Consider the following 21066-nt stretch of genomic DNA (forward strand, 5'->3'; position numbering starts at 1 on the left):
TGATCCTGGTTCTGCCCCATCCTATTTTATCTCTCTGAGCCTTACTTTCTTCACCATAAAGTTGAGATAATAATAATGCCTACTTTGAAGTGTTATTATAAGAATTAAATGAAAAATGAGTAAATTGCCTGATACATAGGAAGCACTTGGTGGATGGTTGTCCTTTCCTTTGCCACCCTTTTCCTTTATCCCCCACATTTAGATACTAAGATGGATTTCCCTTACGGGTTAAAAAAAAAAAACATATTTGGCAGCAGTTAGTAATTAAATTCATTGTGTACTGACTACTGGGAGGAAGTATTCAACTATAAGAAATACTCTTTGCTGTCAGAGTAAAGGCAAGAATATATGTGAAAAATGTAATGTTTACAGAGTAGGCACAAATGAACCTGAGTTAATATGATGCCATCCTAAGCAAATGAGTGATGTAGGGACACCTAGTGAAAAGGAGCAAGGTGAGAGTCATCAGAGAGACTTCTCAGGAGTTTCGAGTCAGGAAGTAGAGAATGCAGATTGATAACAGAATGAGAGGTGGCAGTGATATGGGAGGGGTGGGAGTGACAAGGGGAAGGACTTACATGAAAGGAAGCACAAATACAAACAGGAGGTTCTTTAAGGGGATTCAACATTTTTATTGTAAGTTGACATTTATCATTGTATCTATAGGATACAAGATGATGTTAAGATTTATGAATACTGTAGAATAATTAAATCAAACTAACATAGCTATCACTTCAAATGCTTATTTTTTTTGTGGTGAGAACATTTGAAATTCACTCTCAGCAATTTTGAAATGTATAATACACTATTATTAACTATATTCACCATGCTGTGCAATAGATCTCAAAAAAAACCCTCAGACGTATTCTTCCTGTCTGAGATTTTGTGCCCTTTTACCATCGTCTCCTCAGTGGTAACCACCATTGTACTCTCTGCTTCTATGAAGTACTTTCTTTTAGATTCTACATGTAAGTGAGAACGTGTGCTATTTGTCTACTTTGTCTGCTTGGCTTATTTCTCTTAGCATAACGTTCTCCAGTTCTATCCATGCTGCTGCAAATGACAGAATTTCCTTTTTTAAGGCTGAATATTGTTCCATTGTGTATAAATACCACGTTTTCTTTATCCATTCATCTGTTGATGGACACTTAGGTTGCTTCCATAACTTGGCTACTGTGAATAATGCTACAGTGAACATGGGAGTGCAGATACCTCTTTGGCAAACTGATTTCAAATCTTTTGGGTAAACACCTAGAGAAGTGGAATTACTGGATCATATAGTAATTCTTTTTTTTTTTTTTTTTTTGTGGCAGGGTCTCACTCTGTTGCCCAGGCTGGAGTGCAGTGGCATAATCACAGCTCACTGCAACCTCGACTTCTTGGGTTTAAGTGATCCTTCCACCTCAGCCCCCTGAGTATCTGGGACTACAGGCGTGCGCCACCACACTCAGCTAATTTTTGTATTTTTTGTGGAGACAGAGTTTCACCATATTGCCCAGGCTGTCATATGGCAATTTTTTTTTAGATGGAGTTTTGCTCTTGTTGCCCAGGCTGGAGTGCAATGGCGCAATCTCGGCTCACTACAACCTCTTCCTCCTGGGTTCAAGCGATTCTCCTACCTTAGCCTCCCGAGTAGCTGGGATTATAGGCGCCTGCCACCATGCCTGGCTAATTTTTATATTTTTAGTAGAGACGGGCTTTCATCATATTGGTCAGGCTGGTCTCAAACTCCTGACCTCAGGTGTTCCCCCGCCTCAGCCTCCCAAAGTGCTGGGATTACAGGCATGAGCCACCGCGCCCGGCCGGGTAATATATATATATATATATATATATATTTTTTTTTTTTTTTTTTTTTTTTTTTTTTTCTTTTTTTCTCCTGAGATAGGGTCTTACTCTGTCACCCAGGCTGGAGTGCAGTGGCATGATTTTGGCTCACTGTAACTTCCACCTCCCAGGCTCAAGCGATCCTCTCATCTCAGCCTCCCTAGTAGTTAGGACTGCAGGTGTGCCACCACCATGCCCAGCTAATTTTTAATTTAAAAAATTTTAAAATTTGTATTATTTTAATTATTATTATTATCATTACTGAGACCAAGTCTCGCTCTATCACCCAGGCTGGAGTGTAGTGGCGCAAGCTCGGCGCTCACTGTAACCTCCGCCTCCTAGGTTCAAGCAATTCTCCTGCCTCAGCCTCCTGAGTAACTGGGACTACAGGCAAAGGTGCCCGCCATCATGCCCAGCTTTTTGTATTTTTCGTAGAGACGAGGTTTCACCATATTGGCCAGGCTGGTCTCGAACTCCTGACCTCAAGTGACCTGTCTTCCTTGGCCTCCCAAAGTGCTGGAATGACAGGTGTAAGCCACCGGACTGGGCCTATTTTAAATTTTTATTTATTTCTGTTTTGTAAAAAATTTCTGAGTGAGGTTCCTCTTTTATTTTCTATTTCATCTTCTTTTTTTTAAATATTAGAGGTGGGGGGGTCTCACTATGTTGACCAGGCTGGTCTTGAACTCCTGGCCTCAAGTGATTCTCCAATTTTGGAGTGCTAGGAAGTGCTCCCAAAGTGCCAGGATTACAGGTGTGAGCCACCATGCCTGGTCTATTTTTTTTTTTTTGAGACAGAGTCTGCTCTGTTACCCAGGCTGGAGTACAGTGGCACAATCTCAGCTCACTGCAACCTCCGCCTCCTGGATTCAAGCAATTCTTGTACCTCAGCCTCCCGAGAAGTGCGCACCACCACGCCTGGCTAACTTTTGTATTTTTATTTATTTATTTATTTTGAGATGGAGTTTCACTCTGTCGCCTGTGCTGGAGTGCAGTGGCGTGATCTTGGCTCACTGCAACCTCTGCCTCCCAGATTTCAAGCGATTCTCCTGCCTCAGCCTCCCGAGTAGCTGGGATTACAGGCATGTGCCACCACACCCGGCTAATCTTTTGTATTTTTAGTAGAGACGGGGTTTTACCATGTTGTCTGGGCTGGTCTCAAACTCCTGGGCTCAAGTAATCCTCCCGCCTTGGCCTCCCAAAGTGCTGGGATTACAGGCGTGAGCCACTGCGCCACACTGTCATATGGTAAATTCTATTGTTAATTTTTTTTAAATTTATTTTAAATTTTTTTTTTAATTTTAAGATTTATTTTTATTTTAAATTTTATTATTTTTATTTATTTTTAGTATTTGAGACAAGGTCTTACTCTGTCGCCCAGGGTGGAATGCAGTGACATGATCACGGCTTGCTGCAGCCTTGACCTCCTAGGCTCAGGTGACCCACCTCAGCCTTCCGAGTAGCTGGGACTACAGGCATGTACCACCACGCCTGACTAAATTTATATTTTTAGTTTTTTTAAGGCACCTCTATATGGTTTTCCGTAATGGTAGTACTAATTGAGGGGATGTCTGAACCACACTTGGTGCTCTTATCTTATACTGCCTTTTATTTTTATTTTATTTTATTTTTTGAGACAGAGTCTTGCTCTGTCACCCAGACTGGATTGCAAGATCTTGGCTCACTGCAACCTCTGCTTCCGCGGTTCAAGCATTTTTCCTGCCTCAGCCTCCCGAGTAGCTGGGGATTACAGGCGCCCACTACCATGCCCAGCTAATTTTTATATTTTTAGTAGAGATAAGGTTTCACCATGCTGGCCAGGATGGTCTCAAACTCCTGACCTCAGGTGATCTGCCTGTCTTGGCCTCTCAAAGTACTGAGTTACAGGTGTGAGCCACTGCGCCCGGCCTTATACTACCTTTTATTACAGTGATTTGGGTACTTATTCTTTTTACTGGATTGTAAGTTCTTTGAGGGCAGGTACTTTTTTCATATCATGGCACACACACGGAATCTTTGAAGCACACTGCGGGAAATGGTCCAGACTGAGACTAGTGGTCTAGGACTCTAGCTGGCCAAGCCCTGCCTGGGACACTGGTTAGGAAATGCTGTGTACAGTACTTAGCACAGTGTCTTGAATATAATAGGTAATTATGATTGAAAGATACTTGGAAGAGATAAATTCAAAAAGGAACTTGTGAGATATGAGAGCGAGTATAGAACAGCAGAGGATTTGAGTTCTCACAGAATCTTGGAGATGAATGGGATCTGAGATTTTGCCTAATTGCCTTTTTATTTGCAGATATCCAAACCAAGGCCCTGGGAACAAATGGAAAGCTTTAAGGTTCATGGCTGGGGGAATAATTTTTTGAAATAAAAATGTTAAAGCTTGCTATTCATATGCCTTGCGGCTCTCCTTGACTTGAAGGTGCCAAGGAACTGAGATAGAGCTAAAAGTTTAGCTATTTTTCAGCATGAGAGCTTGTCTTAGAAGCAATCCTGATGAGTCAGAAGGATAACACAGATGACCTCCTGTCTTGCCCCAGATCCTCATGGTCATCATTTGCCTGCTTTCTTCCTGGACATGAACAACTGTGTCAGACAATAGATCATACTTGGAGAAGGAATAGATTTCTCCAATGGCTTTGACCTTTAATGCCTCATAGAAGAGTAGTTAACACACCACTCAATCCCACTGGAGTTCCCCAGCCTTGTGGTTATGTAGTCTATATAAGTGGTTTTAAAAGTGAAGCTGAGATTGGGTGAGGTTGTGGGCCAATTCCCATTCATCTTCTAGTGGACAGAATTATAGGAAGAAGAATGGGTATAGCTTTTTCTTTCCACCAAGGACCAAATGGGAGGAAATAGTCTTAATTTAACAGAAAAGAAATTGATGCCAAAAAGGCTGTGCAACAGGTCTGAGAGGGCAGGGGAATTGAGTAATCAAGGGAGGCCAAGGCATACCCTGATTTCTCTGAAGCTGTTTGAGATCAGGAAGGGAGCTGTGTTGTTTGACTGGGCCTGGGGTGAGTGTACCTCTGTACAGAGGTGGGGCACAGACAAGATGGCCACTGTTGTCCAACCCTTCATATGTGCTATATTTAATGTGTTTCCTTTACTGTCCTAAAACAGTGAGGCCTTACTTCATTTCTTTTTCTCTTAGTCAGATTCTGAGGAAGATGAACCCACAAAGAAGAAAACTATCCTTCAGGTAAGCATTGTGATATAAACCATTTTTTTTCTCTTCCTGTATTATTTCCTCAAAGACAGGACTTACAGTATCCAGCAGTTTTCAGATTAGGCTTAGAGCAAACACAGATATTTGAGGACTATTTAGGTTCGGCTTTGTTTTTCTTTAGAACTTCAGACCTTGTGCATCTCTACCCTCTCCACTCTATTCCTGGCTTTAACATGCTGGTATTACCTTTCCTGGAAGACAGGCAGTGGTAGGGAGATGAATTGTAACTCAATTCAGTTCATTACGTATAGTGTAAAAGGATTATTTAGGGAGGGTAGAATAAGTGGATTAGTCAAAATGATGTTAAAATTGTCTGTCTTCTTCCTGTCTCATTTTTAACCTGGAAAATAAGCACTTAAATAGCACTTACTGTGTACCAGGCACTGTTCTAAGTGCTTTACTAGCATTTAATTGATTTCATCCTCATGATAGTGCCTAAGCCATAGTGTTATCATCCCTGTTTTACATATGAGGAAACTGAGGAACTTGCCCAAGATCAGACAACTAGTGTGGGCAGAGCTGGGATTCAGACTCAGGCAATCAGACAATATATATATTTTTTTTTTGAGATGGAGTTTCGCTCTTGTTGCCCAGGCTGGAGTGCAATGGTGCAATCTTGGCTCACCGCATCCTCCTCCTCCCAGTTCAAGTGATTCTCCTGCCTTAGCCTTCCGAGTAGCTGGGTTTACAGGCATGCGCCACCACACCCGGCTAATTTTGTATTTTAAGTAGAGATGGGGTTTCTCCATGTTGGTCAGGCTGGTCTCAAACTCCCGACCTCAGGTGATCCGCCCACCTCGGCCTCTCCAAAGTGCTGGGATTACAGGTGTGAGCCACCGCGCCTGGCCAGTCTGACTGTTGAGTCCAAGCTCTTAACTGCTGCACTCAGCTCCTTGTAATTGAAACCAGAAGTCCTCAACAAGACAGTGCTAGTAGATGATTTCCCTGCTGTTTGCTTCTGTTTCCCCTCATCTCAGTACCATTATCCTGGCCCCCAGAAGTTTCTTCCCATTCCTTCCACACTTGGTGATTTATACATTCTAACCTCATGTTGATCATATGTCTCAGGGAAAAGCAGAAGTGGTCCTGCTTTTATAAAGTGGCTGTCTTGCCTGGCACGGTGGCTCATGCCTGTAATCCCAACACTGGGAGGCCCAGGCGGGCAGATCACCTGAAGTCAGGAGTTTGAGACCAGCCTGGCCAACATGGTGAAACCCTGTCTCTACTAAAAATACGAAAATTAGCCAGGCGTGGTGACAGGTGCCTATAGTCCCAGCTACTCGGGAGGCTGAGGCAGGAGAATCGCTTGAACCCGTGAGGTGGAAATTGCGGTGAGCTGAGATCGTGCCACTGCACTCCAGCCTTGGCAACAGAGGAAGACTCAGTCAAAAAAAACATAAAAAAATACATAAAAATAAAATAAAATAAAATAAAAAATAAAAAAATAAAATAGTGGCTGTCTTGTGATTCAAGTGGCCTTCTCCTGACTCAGTTAAAGTTGCTTCCACCTCTGAGCAGTTTTAGAAGGACGTAGTTGTGTGGAAGTTAGAAAGATAACTGGCAAGGCTGATGTTTGTATTTATTTATTTAATTTTTTTTTTTTTGGGGGGGACGGAGTCTCGCTCTACCGCCCAGGCTGGAGTGCAGTGGTGCGATCTTGGCTCACTGCAAGCTCCGCCTCCTGGGTTCACGCCATTCTCCTGCCTCAGCCTCCAGAGTAGCTGGGACTACAGGCACCCGCCACCACACCCGGCTAATTTTTTTGTATTTTTAGTAGAGATGGGGTTTCACCGTGTTAGCCAGGATGGTCTCGATCTCCTGACCTCGTGATCTGCCCATCTCGGCCTCCCAAAGTACTGAAATTATAGGCGTGAGCCACCGCGCCCGGCCCTGGTGTTTGTATTTATAGTAGATGAAAAAGGAGTCATGCAAGATGTTGGCGTGCTGAGACTGAGCAAAGGCAGTCCTGTTACCAGGATAGCTTCCTGGAGGAGGTAGACTGGCTCAGAAGGCGCCCCCACTGTAAGACTGAAGACTGTAAAGAACAATCTTCCAGGTGGTAGGAAGAAATGAGTAGATAGAGGAATTCTGAGCTCTTAAGGCAGAGTGGGGACTTAGGACTGCAAAATGTTGTAGCCATGACCCCAGATATGTGACAAGTCAGACACTTCAAGGTAGCCTGAGGGTGTGCTCCGCCCTGTACCTCAGTGTGGTTCCTATGAACCGGAGCCTCTGGGCGCTTCCAGGCTGGACCAAATCTGTGAACACACACACAGCAAGAAGAGCCCAGTCTCCACATGAGCAGTTCTGTGTGGCTTGACTCAAATGTCTTATTTACTCTGGGCATTTCTTGGCTGAGAAGGCTGGAGTACACTAGTACTCTAAGACAGTGACACAGTGACCTTATTCCATTCTCCTTTTCCAATTGGCATTTCCCTTAGCTCTACAGTTAGGCCAAACGGGCCTTTTAGCATAGAGAAAGCAGAATCTGAGAGATTCTTTTGGGTAATAGGAACTCTGGATGGGCTGGGCCAGTGAGCTTACAGATCAAAAGTTAAATGCTTGACTCTGGCATTAACAAGCTAATATGCCACATCTATAGGGCTTTCCTTGGGTAGGGTAGGGGACTTTCTTCAGATTAAAAAAATACAGCATATATATATATACACTCATTTCTGGCTGACAAAACTACCTCTGTATGTATGATGGCACTAAAGATACTAAAATTACATATTTTTGTAAAAAGCAGTAATGTCTTAGATTAGGGAAATTTGCAAGCTGAGTAAGTCTGAAAAGAACTGAAGATGATCTTATAAAAACCCTTTCAGTCAGCTAATGTAGAATTCTATGGTCTTAAGTAAAAAATACCCTTAGGCCGGGCGCTGTGGCTCATGCCTGTAATCCCAGCACTTTGGGAGGCCGAGGTGGGTGGATCATAAGGTCAGGTGTTGAAGACCAGCCTGGCCAAGATGGTAAAACCCCGTCTCTACTAAAAATACAAAAATTAGCCAGGCATGCGTGGTGGTGAGCACCTATAATCCCAGCTACTCGGGAGGCTGAGGCAGAGAATTGCTTGAACCTGGGAGGCGGAGGTTGCAGTGAGCCAAGATCATGTCACTGCACTCCATCCTGGGTGATAGAGCGAGACTCCGACCAAAAAAAAAAAATACCCTTAGCACTTAAGTCCTAAGGGAGCTGCCCCACCCAAGCTGAGGCTTCAGGTTCCTATCTAAGGGGGGGAAAAAAAAGAGAAAGGAAATCCTGTTTCCTTTGCTTTGGGGATGGTGACAAGGAGAGCAATTTAAAGGGTTGGAAAAAGCTGTGTCAGGCCCCTTGCAGTCTCTGGACTCACTGCTTCCTTGTTGAACGTGCTGGGCCTCCACTCTTTCCTAGGCGTCATTAGCGCTGCTGAGGGGTCTCGCTCAGGGTTAGCTTTCTCCCTTGGTCAGGGGAAGGGACTTTTTTTTTTTTTTGAGAAGGGGTCTCACTCTGTCACCCAAGCTGGAGTACAGTGGCATGATCTCGGCTCACTGCAACCTCCGCTTCCTGGGTTCAAGCGATTCTTCTGCCTCAGCCTCCCAAGTAGCTGAGATTACAGGCACCCACCACCATGCCTGGCTAATTTTTGTATTTTTAATAGAGACGGGCCTTCAGTATGTTGGTCAGGCTGGTCTCAAACTCCTGACCTCATGATCCGCCCACCTTGGTCTCCCAAAGTGCTGGGATTACAGGCGTGAGCCACCACTGCCCAGCCGGGAAGGGACTTTTGCAACAGTATGAATGTTTCTTTTAGACAGAACCTTGTTCTTGATTTTGGGTAGCATTCCAAAGGAAGGAGAGGGTTCTTGTGTTAAGAGGTCCCTTCAGGACACGGAGAGAGGTTGAGTGATGAGCTGGAGAGACCTGGGCTTTTGGGGAGGAAGGACGATGTGAGGTTAAGAGCATCGTATTTGTTGAAGACACAGAGTTGAGGAAGGCTCGCTCTGTGGAAGAGGGCAGTGGAGCTGGGTTGGGATGGAAGAGAAGAGGAATGATACCTCACCTTGGGAGAAGCAGCCCGCAGAAAGGCCTGAAGTAGCAGGAGTCAAGCCCAGATTAGGTGGTCTGAGTGGACGGAGGTAAGGAAGAAACAAGGGCTGGTAAGATTTTAGGCTAGAGAACTTATCTGTAACTGTTGTTTTTGGTGTTGCTAGTACATAAAATCTCACTTGTCATCTTTCTTTCCTCCTATCCCACACCTGGGCTCACCAGGGATCCAGTGAGGGGACTGGTTTGTCTGCCTTGCTTCCCCAACCTAAAAACCTGACTGTGAAAGAGACTAACAGGTTGCTCCTGCCCCATGCCTTCTCCCGCAAACCCTCGGATGGCTCCCCTGATACTAAGCCCTCCAGACTGGCTTCTAAGACCAAGACTTCCTCTCTTGCCCCTGTTGTGGGCACCACAACCACCACTCCGTCGCCCTCTGCTATCAAGGCTGCTGCCAAGAGTGCTGCCCTGCAGGTGACAAAGCAGATCACGCAGGAAGAAGACGACAGTGATGAGGAAGTAGCCCCCGAAAACTTTTTCTCCCTCCCTGAAAAGGCTGAGCCACCTGGAGTTGAGCCATACCCTTACCCCATCCCCACTGTCCCTGAAGAGCTGCCTCCAGGCACGGAACCAGAGCCGGCTTTCCAGGACGATGCAGCCAATGCCCCCCTTGAATTCAAGATGGCAGCAGGTTCAAGTGGGGCCCCTTGGATGCCTAAGCCTGGGGACGACTACAGCTACAATCAGTTTTCCACATATGGCGATGCCAATGCCGCTGGTGCTTATTATCAGGTGGGTAGGAGGCACAGAGGGCAGGCGAGGGAATGTTGGAACATGGTGGTCAAGGAGAGCTTTGAGCTAGTGATACAGCCTCTGTGGTGTCACTTTGGCTAAATTAACCTTCTCTATTTATTAGGCCACAGAACATACCTTTATTCTGAACCATATTAATCTAAATTGCCCAAGTCTTAAAGTGTGACAGGGTGAACCACATAAATGACATCTTTATTCTGAAAACAATCTATTTATTTTTTATTGATCCATAATATTTGTACATATTTGTGATTGATATATATATATATATATATATATATATATATATATATATATATATATCTGTTTTTTTTTCTTCCTAACCTTTATTTTAGGTTCAGGAGGTACATGTACAGGTTTGTTACATGGGTAAATTGCATGTCACGGGTTTGGTGTACAGATTATTTTGTCACCCCAGGTGATGAGCATAGTACCTGATAGGTAGGTTTTTGGCCTTTTTTTTTTTTTTTTGGAGAAGGAATCTCACTCTGTTGCCCAGGCTGGAGTGCAGTGGCACAATCTTGGCTCAGCTGCAACCTCTGCCTCCCGAGTTCAAGTGATTCTCCTGCCTCAGCCTCCCGAGTAGCTGGGACTACAGATGTGTGCCACCCTAACATGCCCAGCTAATTTTTGTATTTGTATTTTATATTTTTTGAGACGGAGTCTTGCTCTGTTGCCCAGGCTGGAGTGCAGTGGCACGATCTTGACTCACTGCAACCTCCGCCTCCCAGGTTCAAGCAACTCTCCCACCTCAGCCTCCCAAATAGCTGGGACTACAGGCACATTCCACCATGCCCGCTAATTTAATTTTTGTATTTTTAGTAGAGACGGGGTTTCACTGTGTTGGCCAGGGTGGTCTCAAACTTCTGGCCTTAAGGGATCTGCCCGTTGCAGCCTCCTAAAGTGATGGAATTATAGTGTGAGCCACCACACTTGGCTGTAATAGGTAGTTTTTGATCCTTACCTTCCACACTAAAGTAGGCCCTGGTGTCTATTGTTCCCTTCCTTGTGTCCATGTATACTCAGTGTTTAGTTCCTATTTATAAGTGAAAACGTGGTATTTGGTTTTCTGTTTCTATGTTAATTTGCTTAATGGCTTCCAGCTCCATCCATGCTGCTGCAAAGGACATGATTTTGTTCTTTTTTTTATGGCTGTGTAGTATTCCATGGTATATATGTACCACATTTTCTTTATTCAGTCCACTGTTGACGGGCATGTAGTTGATTCTGTGTCTTTGCTATTGCAAACAGTGCTGTGATGAACATGTGTGCATGTGTCTTTACAGTAGAGTAATTTATATTCCTTTGGGTATATACCCAGTAATGGGATTGCTGGGTTGAATGGTAGCTCTGTTTTAAGTTCTTTGAGAAATCTCCAAACTACTTTCCACGGTGGCTGAACTAATTTACATTCCCATCCGCAGTGTATAAGTGTTCTCGTTTCTCCACAACCTTGCCAGCATCTTTTTTTTTTTTTTTTTTTTTGAGATGGAGTCTCGCTCTGTCGCCCAGGCTGGAGTGCAATGGTGCGATCTCAGCTCGCCGCAACTCTGCCTCCCAGGTTCAAGCGATTATCCTCCCTCAGCCTCCCTAGTAGTTTGGATTACAGGCATGCGCCACCATGACCCGCTAATTTCTTTTTGTATTTTTAGTAGAAACAGGGTTTCTCCATGTTGGTCAGGCTGGTCTCGAACTCCTGACCTCAAATGATCTGCCCACCTGGGCCTCCCAAAGTGCTGGGGTTACAGAGGTGAGCTACCGCGCCCTGCCTATTTTTTATTTTTTTATTTTTGAGATGGAGTCTTGCTCTGTCACCCAGGCTGTAGTGCAGTGGTGCAATCCCGGCTCACTGCAACCTCCACCTCCCAGGTTCAAGCGATTCTCCCGCCTCAGCCTCTCGAGTAACTGGGATTATATGTGCCCGCCACCATGCCTGGCTAATTTTTGTATTTTTAGTAGAGACTGGGTTTCACCATGTTGGTCAGGCTGGTCTGGAACTCCTGATCTCAGGTGATCTGCCTGCCTTGGACTCCCAAAGTGATGGGATTACAGGCGTGAGCCACCGTACCCCGCCAACTTTTGGTTTTATTGCCTGTGCTTTTGAGGTCTTAGCTGTAAAATTTTTCCTAGACCAGTGTCCTGGAGCACTTCCCCTATGTTGAAAACAAAATCTGATGTCGGAGCTGGTGAGAGGTATGAAGGGAAGGTGGAAGAGGACTGGTATCTAATCTTAGAATTACAAGATAGCTTCCTGAAATGTGGATGATGAGGATAAGGGAATCTATGGCATAGATGTCTAGATAGCAGTTAGTTTAAGAAGAGTTTCTAGAGGTGAGGAGTATTGAGAAAAACAGGAAGGGAGAGTTGGGGCCAAGGAGGAAAGAAGGGAATCTGGAGGGTTGAGTGTAAAGTAAGAATAAAGAGAATAAAAAAATTAATAATAAATAAAGAGAATCCTGAGGGTGGTTTGAGGTTTGAATCTCAAGCTGAGTTTGGGCAAGTTACTTAACTGGCTCTCTCAGTCTCAGATTCTTCAGGTGTAAAATGGGATATCAGAGCAACTCAAAGCGTTGCTAAAATAATTACATTAGTTTAGCGTGGTGGTTCCTGGAAAATAGTAAATGTTCAATAAATGCTGATTGTAACTTTTTATTCACGTTGTATTCACCTGTTGTTTGGAAGAGATATTTAGATTTGATGTGTATGGCCCCAGAGAGTAAAAGTATAGAATGCCAGGTTGTACGTAGGTTTAAGAGAGAATTCCTAGCAGTCAGAGCTTCTCAAGATGTAGAGGGCTCCTAGGAGCAGGAGTTGGGGGACCTGGCACCAGTGGTGGAGTTGAACAGAGGCAGCTGGCTGGCCCCATGACTGGGCAGCTTCAGCAAGTTTAAAAACTGCTGGCCTGGGATGGTTGGAAGACTTAAGTCCCTTCAACCACTGTGATTCTCTGAATGGTCAGCATTATTGTTTTCAATCTGGGCATGAGTGAAGAGAGAGGGCTTTGTGGAGAACCTGTTCTGACCAAATACTTTGAAAACAATTTTGTTTGCTAAATCTTTGCTGTTAAGCCTTGTTGTTTCCTATAGGCTGAGCAGAGATAGTATATCTGCCCTTAAGGTTGTTCTTAGAAGGATGGAGGAAGATAGGCTGGGCGTGGTGGCTCACGCCTGCAATCCCAGCACTTTGGGAGGCCAAGGCAGGCGGATCACCTGAGGTCAGGAGTTCAAGACCAGCCTGACCAATATGATGAAACTCCATCTCTACTAAAAATACAAAAATTAGCTGAGCGTGCTGGCATGCGCCTGTAATCCCAGCTACGTGGAAGGCTGAGACAGGAGAATCGCTTGAACCCAGGAGGCGAGGTTGCAGTGAGCCAAGATGGCGCCATTGCACTCCAGCCTGGGCAACAAGAGCGAAACTCCATCTCAAAAAAAGAAGGATGGAGAAAGATAGTGTTTTTACCTCTTTAGCAGGAAAATAAAAAAGATGCTATTTAAATTGAATAACAAATTGGAATTCTATATGCAGTTATAAACACCACTGAGATAATCTATGTAAATTAAAGCACTTTAAATACACTAGGGGACTCTGAAATTTAAATGTATCTTATTGTGAATACCATTATAAAAAAAATCCATACTCTAATTGCTCTGGATTTTTATATATTATTTTATGTAGTGAATATTAAACCTATTTTCATTTAGCTCATCATAAAACAAATGTTCTTAGAAGGGCATTTCTTGGAGTTTAAGACGAAGTGGAAGAATTAGGAAAAAGTATAGGCAAGGAGGAAACAGTTTATTGGCCCTGTGGCTGCCTGACTTCACCAAGCAGAGGCCTTGCCCTTGCCTTCACCCTCCTCTTCCTCTAGGGTCTGCAGCAACATCTGGGCCACTCGCCTCTAAGGGGAATCATGAGATTCCTGAACTCAAAATCTGGTAAACGAACCTGCTTTGTTCCCAGCTTTGTAAGTTTCATTGTATCCTAATAGTGGTTATTTTAAATCAGAGATCTATAACCTCCCCACCCGGTTTAGACTGTTTCCCTGTATCCACAGGACCAAACTAGAATGAGGAGCAGGAATGGCATGACGTATACCTTCTCGTCCCTGCTCGCATCGTAGCTCATTGGGGTCTTATGAGCAGGAGGAGCAGGGCTGAGGGCATGGTAGAGGTAAGAGGTGAGAGTCTCTCTTAGGAAGTAGCTGAGGGAGCAAGGTATAGATTGAAGCAGGAGAGACTGTCTTTGTTTCTTGTTACCCTTTCCTAAAAAATATCCATCTGTCTGGATAGTGTAGATGAGAAAAGCTGTAGGGACTGTTCTTGAGTTGTAGGTCGGTCCTTGGGATCTATGCCTTTAACTGGTCTGTTTGAGGAAGCTGTAGTATAGCTATCTCACCATTGCCTCTTTGATGACAATTTTCTGTTTCTGGACAGACCTTACCTTCCCCTCTCCAACTGTGCCCTCAGTTGGTGTGTTTTTCTTTCCTGTTTGGCTGCAGGATTATTACAGTGGTGGCTACTATCCTGCACAGGACCCGGCCCTGGTCCCCCCCCAGGAAATTGCCCCAGATGCCTCCTTCATCGATGACGAAGCAGTAAGTTAAGAAAGCACAAGTGACCATCTTTGACCGCTGGGCACCACATTTCAAATCTGAAGCCAAAGGAAATTAAAAAAACACACACACACAAAAGACAAAACTGTATCAGGATTAGGTTGGCAACATGTAATGGAGAAACTCTAAATAATAGTGGCTTATATAAAGGAAGTTAGTTTTTTTCTTCATGGAAGAAGGATATGGGTAGGCAGGCCAGGGGTGCTTTGGAAGCTCCACAGAGTCAGGGATCTAGTCCCCTTCTTTTTTTTTTTTTTTTTTTTTTTTTTTTGGTAGAGACGGGGTCTTGCTTGTTGTCCAGGCTGCACTTGAACTCCTGGGCTCAAGCATTCCTTCTGCCTTGGTCTCCCAAAGTGGTGGGATTACAGGTATGATTTACCATGCCTGGCTTCAGTCTCTTTCTGATCATCGCTTTGCCATCCCTAGGCTGTGGCCTTTATTCTTATGGTCCATGATAGTTAAAGCTACAGCCATCACATTGGCATTGGAGATGCAGCAGGGTAGAGAAAGAAAGAGGAGGAACACTTCCCCTCGCTTTCTAGGAGACTTCCTGAAAGTTCCTAAGAGCACGTCCACTTTGATCTCACTGACTAGAATCTGCTCATATGGCCGTATCTAGTTGTTTGTGTTTTTTTTGTTTTTTGTTTGTTTGTTTTGAGCAGAGTCTTGCTTTGTCGCCCAGGCTGGAGTATGGTGGCACGATCTCAGCTCACTGCAACCTCTGCCTCCCAGGCTCAAGTGATTCTTGTGCCTCAGCCTCCTGAGTAGGAGTAGCTGGGATTACAGGCATGTGCCACCATGTCCAGCTAATTTTTGTATTTTTAGTAGAGACGGGGTTTCACCACATTGGCCCAGGCTAGTCTCGAACTCCTGGCCTCAAGTGATCAGCCCGTCTCAGCCTCCCAAAGTGCTGGGATTACAGGCGTGAGCCACTGCATCTAGCCGGCCATATCTAGTTGTAAGGGGGTCTAGGAAATGTAATGTTTTATTAGTTGTGTGGTAATATGCCTAGCAAAAATTTTGGATTCTTTCACACTAAAGAAGAGGAGAATGGATTTAGGGAGGCACCAAGCAGCTATGTTAAATACCGTTGTGTTTCACATAATGGTCTCTCACTGCTGCTGAGCTTTCCTAAGCTTCAGCAAAAGGAAAGGTGAAAGCACAATGTCCTGTGACTTTCAGGCCCTTATTCAGGATATAAAGTACTGTTCTATCTGCAGGGAAGTCACAGCCTATTAGGAGGGATCTGCAGAAATAGGGGGTGCTACCTCACCATGGAGGTTCTTATAAAAAATAATTCTTCTCTGCTTACCTTTTCCCAGAAAGGTGTCCATCCCTTTGCATACTTCTGCCTGTGCTTGATACTGTGTTCATCCACTCCCCTATGGATATCCTTCTTGGCAGGTTTGATAGTTGGTTTCTTTGGGAACCAACTAAGCCTAGGAGACAGCTGAGAACCCAGTTAGTGGCAAAAGTCAGTTTCTTCTAGGTAGAGTGAGTATAGAAGGCCTCACTAATGTTGAGATCAGGACTGGGTCTCACTGAAGCTTCTAAGTTTTAAAATTCTATTCCTTCTTCACCCCACATTTGCTTTGAGGCACACCTCTGGATGACTTGTGTGATTTGCATTTTGCTTTTTTAGGAAGAGGAAGGCGTAGCAGTGTCCTAGAAAGTTTACTGGGCTTTTTTTTTTTTTTCTTTACCTTAAAAGCTTTTGAAGTAAAGCTAAGACTCTGTGTGTGTGAGAGACTCCTTTTCTACGCAGCCCCACATTCTTTGTCTCTAATGTCCACTCTGGTGTGGGGTCTGTTGATTCGGTGATACCGAACAATTAGAAGGAACAGAGATGGACAAACAACTGATTTTTAAAGGAGAAATCCTGGAGTTCTGTGTTTTCTGGGGGCTTGGAATTTTATTTTTTTAGAGGCGAGGTCTTGCTGTGTTTCCCAGGGACCACAGGCACTCACCACCACACCCGGCTAATTTTTTAATTTTTTTATAGAGATGGGGTCTCACTTTATTGCCCAGGCTTGTCTCAAACTTCTGGGCTCAAGTGATCCTTCCACCTTGCCTCCCAAAATGCTGGTATTATAGATGTGAGTCACCCTGCTTGGCCTGCTCTATATTCTTTTTTTCTTTCTTTCTTTTTTTTTTTTTTTTTTTGGAGACAGAGTTTCACTCTTCCCGCCCAGGCTGGAGTGCAATGGTGCGATCTCGGCTCTCTGCAACCTCTGCCTCCTGGTTTCAAGCGATTCTCCTGACTCAGCCTCCCAAGTAGCTGGGATTACAAGTATGCACCACCACACCCAGCTGATTTTGTATTTTTAGTAGAGGTGAGGTTTCTCCATGTTGGTCAGGCTGGTATTGAACTCCCGACCTCAGGTGATCCGCCCACCTCGGCCTCCCAAAGTGCTGGGATTACAGATGTGAGCCACTGTGCCTGGCCTACTCTGAATTCTTAATTCTAAAATTGTATGCAGTCCTTTTAGGCAGATACCATTAAAATAAAATTGATTTGGGGGTACATGTGCCAGTTTGTTACATGGATATATTGCATAGTGGTAGGCAGATACCGTTTGAATACAAATTCATATCACTGGTTCTCTGCTCTCATTCATGTTTGGAGATACCTCTTAGCTTCCCTTTTCCTGGGTTCAGGAGACGTTCTGAGTAGAAGTAGCCTTTCATCTGGCATCAAGGGAGTTTGGTAGATGGCAGGGTGAAAGGACGTAGAGAACTGAGGGTGCCTTGGGATTGGTGAGTCACAAAATCATTCCATAAACTCTGGCTCTTTAGTGGCATCTGCTGACACCCTTGCCCAGATTCCTGACTCCTGCATTTTTTTCTTTTCCAGTTTAAGCGGCTGCAGGGCAAGAGGAACCGAGGGAGAGAAGAAATCAACTTTGTGGAGATCAAAGGTGATGACCAGCTCAGTGGGGCCCAGCAATGGATGACTAAGTCATTGACAGAAGAGAAAACCATGAAGTCATTCAGCAAAGTAAGTGGGAAACGTCTATTGAGTGGTCAGCTTGGGAAGCTGCAAAGCAAAATCTTGTCTTACTCCCCGTCTTGACCCCACACCCCATTGTTATTGTCACAGCACCTTTAGCAAACACATTTTGCCCATGGTACTGGAGTATGCACTAAACCTCACAGATACAGCTCCTGCCCTCTAGAACTTTGCAGGACTTTAACAGCTCTGCAGCTGGATGGGGGGTCTGGTTGCTGAGATCGAGTAGTTGGTGAGGCCTCCCAGCCTGTGGTTGTGGCTTCTTCTCAGGCTGCACAGAATCCACAGCTGCTCTACTCTTGCCGTACAGTCAGATCCTTCTTTCCTTTTTTTGATTTAAAGTTTTTTGCTTTTTTTGTTTTAATTTTTATTCTTTTAAAATACTATCTTCTTCCTTTCCTTCCCTCCCTCCCTCCTTTCCTCCTTTCCTCCTTCCTTCCTTCCAATTGTTTTCATTTTCTGGTGTTTTTTTTTTTTTTTTTTTTTTTTCAGAGTCTCACTCTGTTGCCCAGGCTGGCATGCACTGGCTCAGTCACAGCTTATTGCAACCTCTGCCTCCCAGGCTCAAGTGATCCTCACACCTCAGTTGCTGGGACTACAGGTGCATGCCACCATACCAATCTAATTTTTGTATTTTTTTGTAGAGTTGGAGTTTCACTATATTGTCCGGGCTGGTCTCGAACTCCTGGCCTCGAGTGATCCACCTACCCTGGCCTTGGCCTGCCAAAGTGCTGGGATTACAGGCATGAGCCACTATACCCGGCCCCGGTTAGTTCATTGTTTCAAGCTGGGACCTGGCTCAGCACATTTTTGAGGTGTGGGCACAACAGCACCTCAGAAATCCTGGAGTCCCTAGATTCTGAGCATGCAACTCTTCTGTGTTCTCTTCATTATTGATGGTAGCCAGCTGTAGTCTTTCCAGTGCTTTTATTCATCACATTTCCCACACCACACTCCTGCCTTCTCTGTCCTAGTTTTCTTCAGTCAGTATGATGAACATTTCTTCACCTAGTAGCTGAGAACAGCAAATGTGGACATTTATGAGCCTGCCACCGGAGGGGAAATGTGGGAAAACCCTGGACTTGAGCCCAGCACCAGCGAGACCAAGGTCGAGGATTTTGTTCCCTTTTCCTCCCCCCATTTGCTTTGCTTTGTTCTATGGCCACAGATGGCCACACAAGCCCCAGCCGTTTGTTTTAACTGAATGCTGGCGGTCATACAGGACAGAGCAAAGGACTGTGGTTAGATCAGCATAGATCCATCACTGTTTACTGGAAAAACCACTTAGGAGAGCATGCTCTACCAACTGTGGGTCGAGAAGCATAGTCACATAGTAATAGCTACTGTTGTTAATGCTCACCGTGGGCCAGGAATGGAGCTGGATGTTTTATGTGTGTCATCTTTAACTGTCACATTAAATGACATTAAATAGCAGCAAGCAATTAGTATTTGCTATTTTCCTATCTCCAAGTTTTCTTGCCACCGTCTCATTATATTGAACTAGATTTTGTTAAAAGGAGAAAAAGATATGGTCCTTGTCCTTGAGGAGTTGACAGCATAGTTGGGAAGAAGAGATTTAAGGACACTTGAGTGTAAATGATTACAGTACAGATTGATGACATAAGTGCTGAGGAGACTCTAGAGAGGAGTTTTGGGAGTTGGGTGGAGATGATTAGGAAGCTTCTAGTCTGAGACAACTCTGGCAGAGGACAGAAAAACCGCAGAATGAAAGCCCAGACCAATATAGACTTTGACAGTAAATCATTTGCATCGAAGTTTGGTTACGGGTTCAGTGCAGTTACGGGCGGAGGCTGGAAGACTGGGGAGAGGTAGAGTGATTGTGAAATTTCTAATTCCAGGGAAGCTGCTGGCACTTACTAGAATGGGGAAGGCAGGGGTTTTAGCCAGAGGTGATTGATGGGAGCGAGCTTGATAAGCAGTAGGTGGGAGACAGGCTAGACATCTGGCTTGACTGGGGAGAGGGGGACAGAGATGAAGAGAGTTTGAAGGGAGATGGGCACAGGGATTGTGGGAGGGCCTGGCAGGGGGGCAGAAGGTCACCTGTGCCCTGGCCCACAAACTGTTTCAGACTGACTGCACGCAGTTAAACTGGTCTCAGATGTCCACAGCAGACAGAACCCCATGCTGGGTGCTAGGGGTGGGGTGGGATTACCAAAGACGCAGAAGACAGTCCTGACCTCAAAGCATTTCCAGTCTAGTGGGGGATATTAGCAGGCTATTTCAGGCAAGTGTTCTGAGCTGGGTTTTTTGTATAATGGCTTTAATAAAAATAAAGGCTTTGTAGTATATAGAGGTAAAAACAGCTCCAACTTTTCTCCCCCAGGATTTGGGCTGTGGAATTGGCTTCTCAGCCCCTAACACCACACCATCTGGGCACATGAGAAACTTCTGCTTTCATCCTGTGGATTAATGAATATGTTTTCTTCTCTTGCAGAAGAAAGGTGAGCAGCCAACAGGCCAGCAGCGGCGGAAACACCAGATCACATATCTTATTCATCAGGTGAGAGACAGCTGAGGGCTCTGGCTCAGGCAGGATCTCTGTAAATCTGGGAATTTGAAGGCTGAGATACGAGTTAGAAGCCCAGATGCTTATCTTTTAGCAGCCCATCTTTTAGCAGGCATCCTCTCCTATTCTCAGAGCGGCCACTAGGAGGGGATACATCCTTCAGAATTATCCTGCTCTACTTCAGTCTCAATGCAGATAAGATTCAGGTGCAGGTGCTTAGAATAAAACTCTTAAGTGAAAATCCAGATATCCAAAACATAATGTAAGAGGAGAGTGAAATGGTTTATCATAGGGTTCTTTTAAATAGCAGGTTTCTCTAGTAATTTAAAAAACTTAAAAAAAAAGTTGATTCACCAACTTAGCCAAACATCCACCTGATGAAGAGGTTGGTTTTATATTCTTCACTTCTGTGGCAGGGAACATCAACACAAATAATTCAGAATTACAGGTAATCCAAAAATGTCTTTTGAAACTGGAATATGTCTTGGTATTTATTTAATATGACTGGGCAGCTTTCAAATACAGTTGACCCTTGACCAACACAGAGGGTTAGGGATGCCAGCACCCTAAACAGTCAAAAATCTGCGTATAACATTTTTTTTTTCCCTTTTTGGAGACAGGGGTCTTACTCTGTCACCCAGGCTGGAGTGCAGTGGTACAATCATGGCTTACTGCAGCTGCCGTCTCCTGGGCTCAAATGATCCTCCTACCTCAGTCTCCTAAGTAGCTGGGACCACAGGTGTGTGCCATCACACCCAGCTAATTTAACAATTTTTTTGTAGAGATAGGATCTTCCTGTGTAGCCCAGGCTATGTGTATAATTTTCGATTCCCCTAACAGCTAACTACTAATTGCCTACTGTTGACCAGAATCCTTACCGATAACACATATTTTGTATTTTGCAAAATGTGCTGGGTTGTCACACCTGCTGGCATAGCTGCAGCGATAGCAACAACTTCACAAATTTCCTTTTTTTTGAGACAGAGTCTCGCTCTGTTGCCAGGCTGGAGTGC

The 21066-nt window shown here is 44.6% G+C and overlaps 1 protein-coding gene across 1 annotated transcript in view, besides 1 other annotated feature; it reads left to right on the forward strand.

Annotated features, from left to right (window-relative positions):
* Window positions 1–21066, forward strand: part of PRCC (proline rich mitotic checkpoint control factor) — a 33281-nt gene that overhangs the window by 9760 nt on the left and 2455 nt on the right. Inside the window, exons 2-6 of the mRNA NM_005973.5 lie at window positions 4988–5035; window positions 9314–9880; window positions 14403–14498; window positions 17371–17514; window positions 19982–20047. Of these exons, the coding sequence (NP_005964.3) occupies window positions 4988–5035; window positions 9314–9880; window positions 14403–14498; window positions 17371–17514; window positions 19982–20047 (921 nt within the window). The remainder of the gene's footprint in view (window positions 1–4987; window positions 5036–9313; window positions 9881–14402; window positions 14499–17370; window positions 17515–19981; window positions 20048–21066) is intronic.
* Window positions 17263–17557: an enhancer, noted in NCBI's record as "tiled region #3718; HepG2 Activating DNase matched - State 14:Gen5', and K562 Activating non-DNase unmatched - State 15:Elon". NCBI's record gives its function as "activates a minimal TATA promoter and a strong SV40 promoter by Sharpr-MPRA in HepG2 and K562 cells {active_cell/tissue: HepG2 | K562}" and the evidence as "EXISTENCE:reporter gene assay evidence [ECO:0000049][PMID:27701403]".

This window comes from Homo sapiens, chromosome 1, assembly GCF_000001405.40.
Source record: "Homo sapiens chromosome 1, GRCh38.p14 Primary Assembly".
Classification (NCBI taxonomy): Eukaryota; Metazoa; Chordata; class Mammalia; order Primates; family Hominidae; genus Homo; species Homo sapiens.